Source organism: Homo sapiens, chromosome 11 (genome assembly GCF_000001405.40).
Source record: "Homo sapiens chromosome 11, GRCh38.p14 Primary Assembly".
In the NCBI taxonomy this organism is placed as follows: Eukaryota; Metazoa; Chordata; class Mammalia; order Primates; family Hominidae; genus Homo; species Homo sapiens.
The window spans coordinates 82,795,653-82,810,562 of record NC_000011.10 but is presented as its reverse complement, the minus strand read 5'-3'; the positions used below and the strand labels follow the sequence as shown (position 1 = coordinate 82,810,562).

The 14,910-nt window shown below is 38.4% G+C and overlaps 1 long non-coding RNA gene and 1 pseudogene across 1 annotated transcript in view; both read right to left on the bottom strand.

The window, feature by feature from the left end:
- Positions 1-14,910, bottom strand: part of LINC02734 (long intergenic non-protein coding RNA 2734) — a 36,240-nt gene that overhangs the window by 7,179 nt on the left and 14,151 nt on the right. The gene's annotated exons all lie outside the window — the stretch shown is intronic.
- On the bottom strand, positions 3,360-5,368 carry RBMXP3 (RBMX pseudogene 3; annotated as a pseudogene).

Here is a 14,910-nt window from a genome sequence, read left to right as displayed (position 1 = left end):
GTTATGGTGTGAGATTGCACAAGTACATCTATATAGACCCCGACCTTGAAGAGATGGTTACAAAACACTGGCTTCCTGTCATCTCCAGGGTAAAGTCCAATCAACTGAGGGTAGAGATGGGGTATAGAAGAATGAAAAATAAGAACTTTGTTTTAGGACATGAGGAGCTAGTTTGGTGGTGGGCCATTCAGGTAGATTGGGCAGAAAGGACAAGAACCAGTACATTAGATGTGGAAGAACTTTCTACACCAAAAAGAGGGGGAATATGTGTGTTTCTAATTTCAGTAAATAGAACTCCCAGCTTCACAGTTTCCAAGCCAGGAACCCATGCTTTCTTCTTAACCCTTTTCTCTTTCCTAAGCTTTCTATTCTGAATACCACAAAGGAATTATGCCCCAATGGTGTAAAGCATCCGTTGTGTAAAAGTATCCAATGGTGTGAAGTATCCAATGGTGTGAAGTATCCATTGTGTAAAATATACCCAATGGTGTAAAGTTACCATTACTTTACACCATTGTGTGTGTAATGGATTAACATCTCACCATTGCATCTAGAAATGGTATTAGCTATATAACATTGTTATGAGAATTTTTTAAGAAGTCATTCATGATATTTTTTATAGAATTTAATTTTCTCAAGAGACCATTACTGAGAAAGACTGCCAAACATTGTGTCTCTATGGCTTGTGTTTTAATTGAACTCTTAACATTATTATCTTTAAAATATCTCTTTTCTTTTCTTTTTAAATAACAATCCCTCATGATTGCCATTTGTTTTGAGACAAGGTCTCACTCTGTAGCCCAGGCTGGAGTGCAGTGGTACCATTACGGCTCACTGTAAAGCTTCATTAAAAAAGTTTGAAACACCTGCAAACTTCCAAAAAAGTTCCATATGCAGATTTTTTAAACTTAAACACTTGAGAGTAAGTTGCTGACATAATGTCCCGTTGCCTCCAAATACTTTAGTGCCAATTCTGACAATTCTCCATAACAACAATATATCATCAAAATCAGGAAATTAATATTGGCATATTATTACCATCCAATCCTCAGATCCCATTAGTTACCCCAGTTGCTCCAATAATATGCTTTATAGCCAGAAGTTATAATTCAGAATCAAGCTTCGAATTTAGTTGTTATCACTTCTTCAATGTGGACCAGTTTCTCAGACTTTCCTTAATTTTCATGACCTTGAAACTCTTGATAATTACTGGCCAGTTATTTTGTAGAATATCTTTCTGTTTGGGTCTGCATCAAGTTTCCTCACGGTTAGATTCAGGTTATGCATATCTAGCAGGAATGATGCTGTGTTTTCACAGCATCTTATTAGATGATGCATGATTTCAATTTGTCCTGCTACCGATGATGTTTACTTTAATCATTTGATTATCTCTGCCAGGATTGTCCAGTTAAATTTACTCATTTTTAACTTTGTAATAAATAAGTATTTTATGGGTAGGGACTTTGAAAATATGTAAATAATGTGTTTCCCTTTGAACTTCTCATTTATTCATTTATTTATTTTATTCAATGGATTATACTTTGTTACTATTTTTATTTTGCTGCTCAAATTTTCTTTGATTTGGTCAGTAGGAACCCCTTTAAGCTGAATTCTCTGTCCTTTTGACGTGGTCCCATCGTTCTCTGAGTCCTCCTGTGTCTTTTAGCACGATATTCTAGGCTTATCTTGTAATTTCTCTACCCCAGCCCTGAAATCAGCCATTTCTCCAAGGAGCCCTGGTTTCTTTCATTAGAGAGTGGTATTTTAGAAACCACACATTGGTACAAATTGTACTCATAGCTAGTGAAGTGTTGCTGATCTCAGACCCTCTCAGGGGATAGAGTTAGGAATGATATATATCTTTCCATAATTATACATATATATTTATTTCTACATCTATCATTATATATTGAAAACCATGATGCTTCCAATTTCAGTCCAGTATCACAGGGTTCCTGCTAGTTTTATTCCTTTCCATAATTATAATTCTCTTTTCTAACAATGAGGAACCAGCTCTCAATATACTTAATATATTTACTTATTTGATCAATCTCCCCACATGTAACCAGTCTTCCATCAATGACACCAACCTTTCTTAGCATGTATTACTTCTCACTCTACTTGGGTGGAAGCCTCCTGTCTTAATCTGTTTGGGCTGCTGTAACAAAATGCATAGACTGAGTAGCTAATAAACAACAAAAATTTATTTCACACAGTACTAGTGACTGAAAAATCCAGTGACTGGTCAGGACCCAGCCTTTTCATTAATAAATGGTGCCTTTTGTCTGTGTCCTCAGATGGTATAAGATGGATGGTTGTTTTCTTCTTTCCCTACTATCACACAGACCTTATGGTTGCTTTCCTTCCTTCTTGCCTATATCATCCTAGGTGTGCTACATATTTAGTTTTCCCTTTAATTTCCCTCAAATCATCATTAATAAAAGTTATGTCTGGCATACTTTCATAAAGGTTTGTGTAACAAAAGGGGTTACAGCATGTGCGTGTAACAACTGACAGCTTTCATTGATGTAAATATCAACGGACCATTTCTTGCTCTATGGATTTCTGGCTAGAAATATTTTCCAGCTCACTGTCATGCTTTCTGGCATCATTTCTCTTCAACTTTCCCCCTATCCTCCTAGCTTCTAGCCTCCTTCTTGTACATTCCTGCTACTTATACACAGTTATTCAATTCTCTCTGTATTTTTACGTTCTCCTTTCTGCCATGACTTGCATTTAAATGTGTAATTGTTGTAGTTTATTCAGCATCTAGATATTTCTTAAAGTACATAGTCTATCATGCTGTCAGTAATTTATGTCTCTGTTTTTGTCTCTTATGTTCTTACAATATTGCTTTATGGAGTTACGCATTACAGTCAGTAAAATGCACAATCTGAAGGGAATAGATCAGTACATTTTTTTACATAGATAAAAACTTACGTGACCATCATCCAGAAAAAGATTAGAACATTTTCATCACTCCAGAAAGTTTCCTTATGTCTCTTTCTGGGTGATGCCACCCCCTTCCAGAGGTAACCACTATATTGATTTCCATTACCATAGATCTGTTTTGCCTGTTATTGAACTTCACATAAATGGAATTATACAGAATGCACTTTTGTTTCTAGTTTATTTTGCTCAACAAAACAGTTTTGAGATCCATTCTTGTTTTCACTTGTTAGTAGTTCATATTATTGAGTAGGTATAATTCATTGTATAAACACAAAACAATTTCCTCCTCCTTCTCCTCCTTCTCCTCCTCCTTCTCCTTCTCCTCCTTCTCCTCCTCCTCCTCCTTCTTCTTCTCCTTCTTCTGCTTCTGCTTCCTCTTCCTCTTCTTCTCTTCTTCTTCTTCCTTTTTGGTTTGCCAAACTTTTTTTTAGTATTCCGTAGTTGTTTAACACACACTTAAAAGATCTTATTTGGGGGAGGCAAAAGGGGAGGTTCTTGCAGATACCCAAGGAAACGTCAGAAAGGTAAAACGGCCAGCATTATCCATTTGCTTTTTTGGGTTTACTGGGTGAACAGCACTTTCCGTAATAGGCACCTGATTTCAGGTTTTTTATATTGAGAACATTGAGATTTCAGTTGGAAATATATATCATATATTATAAGTAGCATACCCCAACCACCCTCTAATAGCTAGCTTGTTTGTATGGGCAGAACGATTCATCTCTCCATATTTTAGATGGCTAGATGTCTTGTGGAGATCTTAAGAATTGCTTGCCTCGTTTACTGGGAAAAATCCGATAAGAAGTGGCCTTTAGGGACACTTTTACTTGGAAAGTTACAACACTAGTACAACAAGTCTTAACACATTTAACATTTGCTTGTTGAAAAGCAACGTCATAAAGTCAAATAAAATTAAACAATGTTTTACTTTTTTCCTCACAAGAACATAAAAATTATGGAAGGAAACTTAACAGGGAATTTAAAAAAGGTAACACAATTTTTCCTTTTAGTAGTCCTTGGGTAGTTATGACAGAATAGTTTCCACTTTTTGTTTGTTTCTTTGAACTGGGATTTTGTTCCAAAGTTTTGCTTGTTTCTAGTATCTGCTTCTGCCTCCCCCTCTATCAGACTGGCTTCCTCCATGGCCACCACCTTGGTGCTCTGTGGCTTGAACTGCTGTAGGAATCACGTGGAGGAGGGTGCCCCCTTTCCATAGAAGGAGGAAGCCCTCTTTCTTATCTGCCAACCCGATCACGACCACTTGAGTAGAGATCACTTCAGCTGCTGAGTAACTGTCTGACTTCCACCATATCCATCACGTGAGCTGCTGTAATCATCATAGCGACTGCTTCCGCCGTAAGCTGGCAGGGGCCCTCGTGTATGTCCAGCACTACTTGAGTTACCATAACTCTCATATGAATCTCTGTAGGAACCTCCATTTGGATGATCTGAATAGTCAAGATCACGACCATATCCCTCTCTATCGCCATAGCCTCTTGATGGATAGTCATCACGTGAACTGGAATGACCATAGTCACGGTAAGTATAATCTTGTGGTGGTGGTGTATAATCTCTTGTATCACGAGAACTTGGGTAATCTTTGCTGGAATAGCTGTCTTTAGTAGAATACACATCATCTCTTGGGGACAAATAAATATCTCTGTGAGAGGGCAGCGGTTCCCTTCGAGGTGGACCTCCGTAACTATCTCTTCCACGTGATACAGGAGCTCTTCCTCCCATTCCACTGCTGCTGCAAACTGGTCCTGAAAGTGCAGATCTCTTAGGAGGAGGACCCGCACTTCTTAATGGGGGTCCTCTTTTTACTGGGAGTAATCCCCTGGAAGAACTCATGTTAAAATTCATGGACTATCCACCATCATACATGTGTCCTCCCCGTGAGGGAGGTCTCCTGGTTCCTCCACTTCCTCCTCTTCCACCTCTAAGACCTCTTGGAGGGCCTCTACTTCTTGGAGGTGGAGGGGTCCACGTCTACTACTTTCAAATGATGGTTTGGTGGTTTGTTCCACCTTAATGGCTTTTCCATCTAGTGACTTTCCATACACGTCTCTGGCTGCATCCTTATCGTCTCCTGGGCTATCAAAGGTGACAAAAGCAAATCCTCTTTATCTGTTCGTTTCATCAAGAGTACTTCCACTATTCGTCCATATTTGCCAAATACTACTTCAAGACTTTTCTCACTTGTTTCCGTATTAAGCCCACAAATGAAGAGCTTTCCTGGGCGATCTACTTCAACCATTTTTTGTTTGTTTGTTTTTGTTTGCCGGTGAGTCAGAGGAGTAACAATGGGTTCGAGCTTCAACAAGCTTGCAGACAGGGGCTTCCTAGCAGCTCAGCACCAGTGGTGGCTGCCCGGTCCAAGGACCGAACCTTGAAGTCGCTAGCACTACTGCACAACAAAAACAATTTCTTCTTTGTCTATTCTTCTGTAGCTAGACATCTGGGTTATTTAAAGTTTCGGCTATTATAAATAAAGCTCTTATGAGTATTACATTACAAAACTTTTTGTGAATATTTGTACATGTTTATTTTAGGCATATACCTAAGAGTGGAATTGCTTGGTAGATATATGTTTATGTTTATGATAATTGTTAGACCAATTTCTAAAATTGGCTTAAAATTGTAGAGTTCCACTCACAATGCATGAAGGTTCAAATTACTCTATCTCCTTGATTACTTTTTGTGGCCAATCTTTTTTTAAAATTTGGCCATTCTGGTGGGTGTGTAATGGCATCTCATTTTGGTTTTATTTATTTTTTTTTTGAAAAGCGTGTGTTTTTAGTTTTTATGAAGTTGGATTTATTATTTTTTGTGTGAGAAAGAAAGTGACTTTTGTGTCTTAACTAAAACACTTTTGCCCACTCCAAGGTCATGAAAATACTCTCTACGTTTTCTTCTAGGATCTTTATAGTTTTAGCTTTCACATTTAGGTCTGTGACACAGATTTAATTACTCATTTATGTGCTGTGAGGTAGGGGTTAAGGTTAATTTTTATAAGTTTCAAACATATGTAAAAATATAATAGTATGATGAGCCCCCAAGTACCCATCACTCTGCTTTGATAATTATCATGGCCAATATTGTTAGATATATTCTCCTCACCCACTTTCCTTAATTCAAACTGAATTATTAGTAAGAAAATTTCTGATATCATACTTTTCATTATTACTATTTCAGTATATATCTCTAAGAGATAAGGAGTGTTTAAAAAACAATGCAACCACAACACTCCTATTATATCTAAGCAAGTAACCATAATTCCTCAATATCATCAAATATAGAATGATTTTCCACATTTTCCCAGTTGTCTCATAAATTTAAAAAATTATTTTTTTTATGTTATTTTTTTGAGATGGAGTTTCACTCTTGTTGCCCAGGCTGTAGTGCAATGGTGTGATCTCGGCTCACTGCAACCTCTGCCTCCTGATTCAAGCAATTCTCCTGCCTCAGCCTCCCAAGTAGCTGGGATTACAGGCATGTGCCACCGTACCCAGCTAATTTTATTGTATTTTTTAGTAGAGATGGGGTTTCACTATGTTGGTCAGGCTGGTCTCGAACTCCTGACCTCAGGTGATCCACCCACCTTGGCCTCCCAAAGTGTTGGGATTACAGACATGAGCCACCGCGCCTGGCTAAAAATTAGTTTATTTTTAAAACTAAACTACGATCCAAGTGATTTCTTTTTATTGATTTGGTTGCAAAGTCTTGCAAGTATAATTTAATAAATATACTTCTACCCTTTACAAGTTATTTGTTGAAGAAATGTTGACATTTTTTCCCCTATAGTTTCCCATACTCCACATTTTGCTGTTTGAATCTCTTTGGTGTGATTTAAAATGTTCCCTCTCTTCTGAAATTGCTGCGAACTGATGATTAAATCAACACTCCCCAAGGGGCTCAAAGACACATCCAAATGGCTCAGGACCTGTGAATTCACTGGCTAGGAGAAATGGCAACAAGTTTGATCTCCTCTAAATTAATGTTTCCAATTTCTCTTCTTCCTTTCTTACAGAATACAAAGGGAGAAATCCTCTCATTCTGAGTAGCTCCATTCTTCCCCTGTTGGCCTCCTGGGTCAAGTGGGTCAAATATTCCTTTCTGTTCAGAGGTCCCTTGGTGCAGTGGGGCCCTTTCTGCTCCACACTGGGGCATAATTTGGTATACTCACTTACCTGGATTAGGAACCTGAGCTACCTCTTCCTTCAGGTACAGAGATCTTGGTGCAGTGACACCCCCTCTACTCCATGCCTGGATTTATCTCCAGGCATTCAGCACACCCACTGTTTAGGTGTTTAGGCCACCCCTCCTTTCCTGGGTGGAAAACTTGGGGAAGCAGAAGTTTCTCCACTCCATACTCAGGCACAACTCTAGGTGCTTGGTGGCTGCCTTCTGGACTTTACTTTGGAGCCAGTGCTTACACCTGCCACTGGGGGATGAAGAGGTGGGCCTGCCCAATTTGGCAGGCCAAGCTTGGTCTCTCCTGGAACTGAGCAGGGAGCTCAGACCACTGTGCATTCCACAGGATGGTCTATTGCCTGAGGCAACAGGGAGCATCTTATGGCAAACAAAGATCAAGCATATACCCATTTACCTCAGCTGCACCTGGCTGTTACCCATAAGCATCACCCACAGACTGAGGATGAACTGCACAAGCCAAAATATACTTTGCTGACATAAGCACACAGCAGTGGGGAACTAGATTAGCTTCCTGAGGCCTCTGCTACACGAGCCATGCAGGAGGCAGAGAGCCTGCTCATCTGCCCAGTACATTGCTAGCACAGCCAGCATTTAAGAAAGCTACTGTACAAAAGCTATCTGTAACTAAGGAAACTACACAAAGTCTTTGCCACTGGAAGCACCCAGAACCAAAGCCAAAGGACTCAATACCATAAAAATTGTAGTCAAATCCTTGAGAGAGAGAAAAATATCTCATCCCAATGAAAGTAAATTCAAAAATAAGCAGAAGAGATAGCTTACCCAGATGAGAAGGAACCAGAAGAACAGTTCTGAAAGTATTTAAAGATAGTGTTATAACCCCCAGCAAAGGACCACACTAACTCTTTAGCAATGGATATTAACCAAAATAAAATTTTTGAGATGCCAGATAAAGAATTCAAAATATTGATTTTAAAAACATCCAGTGAAGAGAAAGTTGAAAACACACACACACAGAGACACACACAAACACACACACACGCACACACAAAATCAGAAAAACAATTCAGAATATGAAAGAAGAGACAGATATTATTAAGAAAACCAAACAGAAGTTCTGGATTACAGGGGCTAACCTAGGAGTTTTATATTTTCCTGTGTGAAATACTGTTGAAAGCTGCAACAATAGGCTTGGCCAAGCAGAAGAAAGGATTTCAGAGCTGGAAGACAGGTCTTTCAAATCAACCCAGTCAGACAAATATAAAGAAAAACAAATTTTACAAAATGAACAGAGCCTTCAAGAAATATGAGACTATGCATATGGCTCAAACCTACAAGTTATAGATATTTCAGAAGGAGAAGGGGAAAAATTACAAGTATGGAAGGCCTATTGGAGGGAATAATTCAGGAACACTTCTCTGGTCTTGCTAGAGATATATAGAGCCAAATACAAGAAGCTCAAACCTCTTGAAGATACATTGCAAGAAGAACCTCGCGAAAGCACATACTCATCAGACTATTAAGTTAACATGAAGGAAAAAACCCTAAAAGAGGAAAGAGAGAAACATCTAATCACCTATAAGGGAAATCCCATCAGACTAACAGTGGACTTCTCAGCTATAAGAGACTGGAATCCTATTTTCAGTCTTTGTAAAGAAAAGAAATGCCAGCCAAGAAATTTTTTATCTTGCTAAACTAAGCTTCATAAATGAAGGAGAAATAAAAAGTCTTTCCCAGACAAACACTAAGGGAATTTCTCACCACCAGACCAACCCTTCAAGAAATGCTCAAGGGAGTTCTAAACATAGAAATGAAAAGGTGATACTTGTCATCATAAAAGCACAGGAAAATATAAAACTCCTAGGTCTTATAAAGCAGTTACACAATGAAGACTGCAAAGCAACAGAGTAACAATTAACACTTAACAGGAACAAAACCTTACATATCAATACTAACCCAAATGTAAATGGACAAAATTCTCCACTTAAAAGATATATGCTAGGGAAATGGATTTAAAAAAGCAAAATCCAACCATATTCTGCATACAAGAAACCAACCTAACTGGTAAAGACATTTACAGACTCAAACCAAAGGGGTAGAAAAAGATATTCCATGCAAACAGAAACAAAAAATGAGCAGAAGTAGCTATAATTATATCAGATTAAACAGACTTTAAATCAACAACCATAAAACAGACTTTAAATCAACAACCATAAAAAAGACAAAGGAGGTCATTATATAAAGACAAAAAGATCAATCCAACAAGAATATATAACAATTCTAAGTATATGTGCACCCAACACCAGAGTACCCAGATACCACTAGATCTAAGAAACAAATACTACTAGGTCTAAGAAAAGATATAGACACCAATACAATAATACTGGAGGATTCAATATCCCTCTGACAGTACTAGACAGATCATTGAGACAGAAAATCAATACAGAAACTCTGGACTTAAACTGGATTCTAGACTGTACAGTTTTAACAGACATTTGTAGAACATTCTACCCTACAAACACAGAATATACATTCTTCTCATCTGCACATGGAACATTCTCAAAGACTGAACATATGCTAGGCCACAAGGCTAGTTTCAACAAATTTTAAGAAATTGGAATTATATCAAGTACTTTCTCAGGTCACAGGAGAATAAAACTAGAAATGAACACAAAGAGGAACAGTCAAAACTATAAAAATACATGGAAATTAAATAATCAGCTCCTGATTGATTGTTGGGTCAATGATGAAATTAAGGCAGAAATAAAAATATTTTTTGAAACAAAATAGAGACACAACCTATCAAAACCTCTGGGATACAGCAAAAGTAGTGCTAAGAGCGAAGTTTATAGCATTACATGCCTACATCAAAAAGGTAGAAAGATCTTAAATTAACAACTTAATATTGCACCTCAAGGAAATAGAAAAACAAGAACAAACCGCACACACATTTAGTAGAAGAAAAGAAATAACAAAGATGAGAGCAGAACTAAATGTAACTGAGACCAAAAAATAATACAAAGGATCAATAAAATGAAAACTTGGTTATTTGAAAGGCTGAATGTGGGGGCTAACACCTGTAATCCCAGCACTTTGGGATGATGAGGCAGGAGATCCACTTGAGCCCAGGAGCTTGATACCAGTCTGGGCAACATACTGAAACCCTGTCTCTATAAAAAAATTTTAAAAAATAAAAAGTTGGATATGGTGGCACACCCCTGGACTCTCGCTACTTGGGGGGATGAGGTGGGAAGATCTCTTGAGTCTGGGAGGTTAAGGCTGCAGTGAGCCATGATTGTGTCATCGCACTCCAGCCTGGGTGACAGAGAAAGACCCTGTCTTTAAAAAGCAAGCAAACAAACACACAAACAAAAAAACAGAACAAAAGATAAACAAAAGTGATAGACCACTACTAGGTTAACTTATTAAAAAAGGGAATATTCAAATAAGCACAATCAGAAATGACAAAGATGTCATTATAATTGGTACAATAGAAATAGAAAAGATCATGGGAGACTACTCTGAGCATCTCTATGTGTGCAAACTGGAAAATCTAGAGGAAATGGATACCTTCCTGGAAACAGAAACCTCCCAAGATTGAACCAGGAAGAAATAGAAATCCTGAACCCACCAATAATGAGTAGCGTAATTGAATCGGTAATAAAAAATCTGCCAAAAACTACAAAAAAGGCCCAAGACCAGACAGATTCACAGTTGAATCCTTTTTTTTTTTTCCTATTTGGCCCAAACAAATGTCTACACAGGCCAGTTACACCAGATGTACAAGGAAGAACTGATACTAATCCTACTAAAACTGTTCCAAAAAGATCAAGAAGGAGGGAACCCTCCCTAACTTATTATACGAAGCTAGCATCATCCTGATACCAAAGCCAGGCAAGGACATATCAAAAAAGAAATCTAGAGACCAATATCCCTGATGAACATAGATGTCAAAATCCTCAGCAAAACACTAGCACATTGTATCCAACAGCAGATCAAAAAGATAATACACTATGGTCAAGTGGATTTTATTCCAGGGATGCAAGGTTGGTTCAACATACATAAATCAATAAATGTGATTCACCACATAAACAGAATTAAAAACAAAAACCATATGATCACATTGATAGATGCAGAAAAAGCATTAAAAAAACCAGCATCCTTTCATGATAAAAACGATTACCAAACTAAGCATAGAAGAAATATATGTCAAAATAATAAAGGCCATATATGACAAACCCACAAGCAACATCCTACTGAACAGAGAAAACTTGAAAGCATTGCCCCTAAGAACTGGAACAAGACAAAGATGCCTACTTTCACCACTTGTATTCAACATAGTACTAGAAATCCTAGCTAGAGCCATCAGGCAAGAGAAAGAAATGAAAAGCATCCGAATTGGAAAAGAGGATGTCAAATTATCTCTGTTACATGATGATGTACTCTTACACCTATAAAATCTTAAAGACTCCTCCAAAAGATTCCTAGATTTTATAAGTAACTTCGCTGAAGTTTGAGGATACAAAAATCAAACTACAGAAATTAGTAGCATTTCTACACATCAATGATGATAAAGCTGAGAACCGAATCAAGAATGCAATCCCATTTAAAATAGCTATGAAAAATATGTAGGAATACATTTAACCAAGGAGTTGAAAGATCTGTACAAGGAGAACTACAAAACACTGATGAAAGAAATCATATGTGACAAAAACAAATGGAAAAACATCCCACGCTCATGGATGATCTCCTCCAAACTATTTTTCCCGATTTCTCTTCTTCCTTTTTGACAGAATAAAAAGGGGAGAAAACTTCCTATTTTGAGTATCTCCATTCTTCCCGTTAGCCTTTAAAAATTTTGACCTATTTAATGCTATTAATTGGAAGAATCAAATCTTGATTGGAAGAATAAAAAATCTTCCAACAACAACAAAAAAAGCCCAAGACCAGACAGGTTCACAGTTGAATCCTTTTTTTCCCCTATACTTTGTGCACACCTCTTTTGGCTTTGTAACATCACAATGTGATTAAGTGTTTTTTATGTTTGTTGTTTTCACTGGGCAGGGATACTGACCCCCCTCTGCCTTTCTAAACTATTATTTATTGATTATCTTCTATGTCCCAGTTACTGCATAAGAATTTAACATAAGGAATCTCATTTCATCGCTTCTTCAGCAACATCTGGAAACAGGTATGATGATCTCCACTTTAGAGGTGAGGATTCAGAGAACACAGATTTGAAGTGACTTGCTGAGTTGTGAGTCGAACTTTATATTCTGCATCAGCCAGCCTCGGGACCAGGCATGTGGCAGATGTTCAATGCTGAGTTACGACTAATATTATGAAGGTAAACCTCAGTGCAGACACCATCTATTCTAGGAATCCTCTGTAGCCTATTTTTGCTGATATTGCCTCCTCTTTGTTGCAAACGAACCTGGAACAGTCCTCTATTATCACACTTCTCACACTGACTTTGATCAAGTCAGTTTTCTATGTGGAGTGGACTATATGGATTTTGCATATATGTATCTTCTGGCAGGAGTGGGAAGCTGGACTGCTGAGCTGGCTCTGGAGGGATGCTCCCAGAGTACCCAGGACTGAGGCAGTTAATTTGCCCCACTGGTGAGGAGGAAATTTCTTGTAAAAGCTAGCTCCCCTCAGAACAAAGTGGCCTTTTATTTTTTAGCTTTGGAAAGGAGCCTAGCTGTCCATGGAAACAAAGAGAGGAGAGAATCACTGAACCAGTCTTGCACATAAAAAACCTACCATGCCTGTCTTTGAAGTCTCCTTTATGTCATTTAGAAAACTTTGGATTATAGGAGTGTTTTTTCCTCCTTTTTTTCCTCAGTTCCTCACCCACCCCAATTTTTTTTTTTCAGAGAAAAGAGAGAACTGGGTATAAGAGAACCTTTCTTTGAAACAGGGCAGAAGTCATTAATTAAGGTTCCCATTCATTCCTGCTGACACTTGCTCATCAATCAGATTTCCTCTTAGCATTCTGATGACCTTGCTGACCTTGGTCCTCCATGCTGTCTGCTAGACAGAATTGAGACTCAGACCACACACACCAGAACTGAGGGAATGGGCTCTGACTCTCGGCTTCCTGAGATGGAGGAGAAAGGGTCTGGGGACAAAGCTGGCTGGTCCGGAGCTCTTCTGGCTGAGGTGAAGGTGAATAAAGAAGACATTTTCTTTGCGGAAGCAAGTGTTGCTTACTTCACACAAGCAGTGATCTATAGCTGCCCTTCTCTTTTTCCCCAGAACCCAGGGCCAGCCATGGAGCTTGGAGCCCAGCCAGCTGAGCCCAGGAAACAAGGCTAGCAATTTCTCTCTGCTAACTCAGCACTGCTGAAAGAAGTTAACAGCTCTAGTCTTCTCTCAGAAAAGTACAGGAAACTGTTCTGGAGATGGGGGTGGCATCTGGGACTAGTCAGCCTAAGGTGTGGGACTTTTATTTCATTACTTGTGCCTTTATTCATTCATTAAATATACATTTACCTGGCAGCCACTGTGTATACTAGGCAAATTTTATGTTATGTATAGTTTATCACAATTTAAAAAAAGAATTAAAAAATTATGTGTGTAGATAAACTTGGAAACACAAAAAACACTTGCTACATTACTGGGGGTAGTAAGGTTGTGGGTAAATTTCTTCTACATGTCTGGTGCTAGAAAGTATTTGCAAAGCATAAAAACCTTAAAGAAAAAAATGGACAAAAAACTAAAATAGATTTTTCTAGAAAAAACCTATATACACAAATGGTTAACAAATGCATGAAAAGATATTCAATATCATTAGCCATTAGGAAAATGCAAATCAAAATCATATGATACTACTTCAAACACATAAGATGGCTATGATAACAAAATGACAAAAAGTGGAAAATAGCATATGCTAGCAAAGGTGGGGGAAAATCAAAACTTTCATACATGACTGGTGAGAATATATTAATAAGATGGTGCAACTGCTTTGGAATTACCGAAAAGGAGAAGAGATTTTCTGGAATGATGCCTTTTTAACTAAGGGAGTGGGGACGGCATCTCATATACAAGTGGACAGGTTGGCCTGAAGTAGGAGTAAAGACAATCCATTCACAGTAACGAGAAGGAAGGAGGCGAATGTGGGCACAGACAAATGCATTAGGTCAAATGTAGTGATGCAACTTCTGAAAGTTCTATGTGACTGTTGCTATTTCCTCAGTGAAGAAAGTGGAAGAGTGAATGGATCTGGAAGATGATTCCTGAGCAGTTACAAGGGCCTGCTTGAGCTTAAAGTAATGGACTTAAAATCAGACTGGTCAGCATGGTTGTGTGTTGATCTTCAGCCAGGTTCAGCTGCTCAGGTGTAGGCTGGGAGTGAAGAGGTGAATCTCACTGAGGTTGGAGCTTTTCAAGAAGAGTATAATAAAGCAAGAAAGGGAAAATATAGTTGAAGAGAGAAATTATGATGATGAGAATATGCTCTAAGCTAGATATGGAAGGGAGGGGAGTGAAGCCTCCACAGGTACTGATAGTTGGGGCGAGGGGGTGGTGAAAAGGAGTGGTATCTGTAGATTGGAGGTCTCTGTGGGGTCAAAAACTTGCTGGAATTGGGACACTCAAACTGGAAAGATAAGAGGGGGGATGATCAGAGAGTGGGTTGCTTGAAACTCAAATTAGGTAAAATTTGCAAGTATTGGGAATAATAAGGTGCAGTACATGACCATGGGAATGATGGCTAGACGAGGGTGTGAGACAATGGAGGAGATGAGGTCAATGAATACATGAGCCAGGATACAGGGAGGA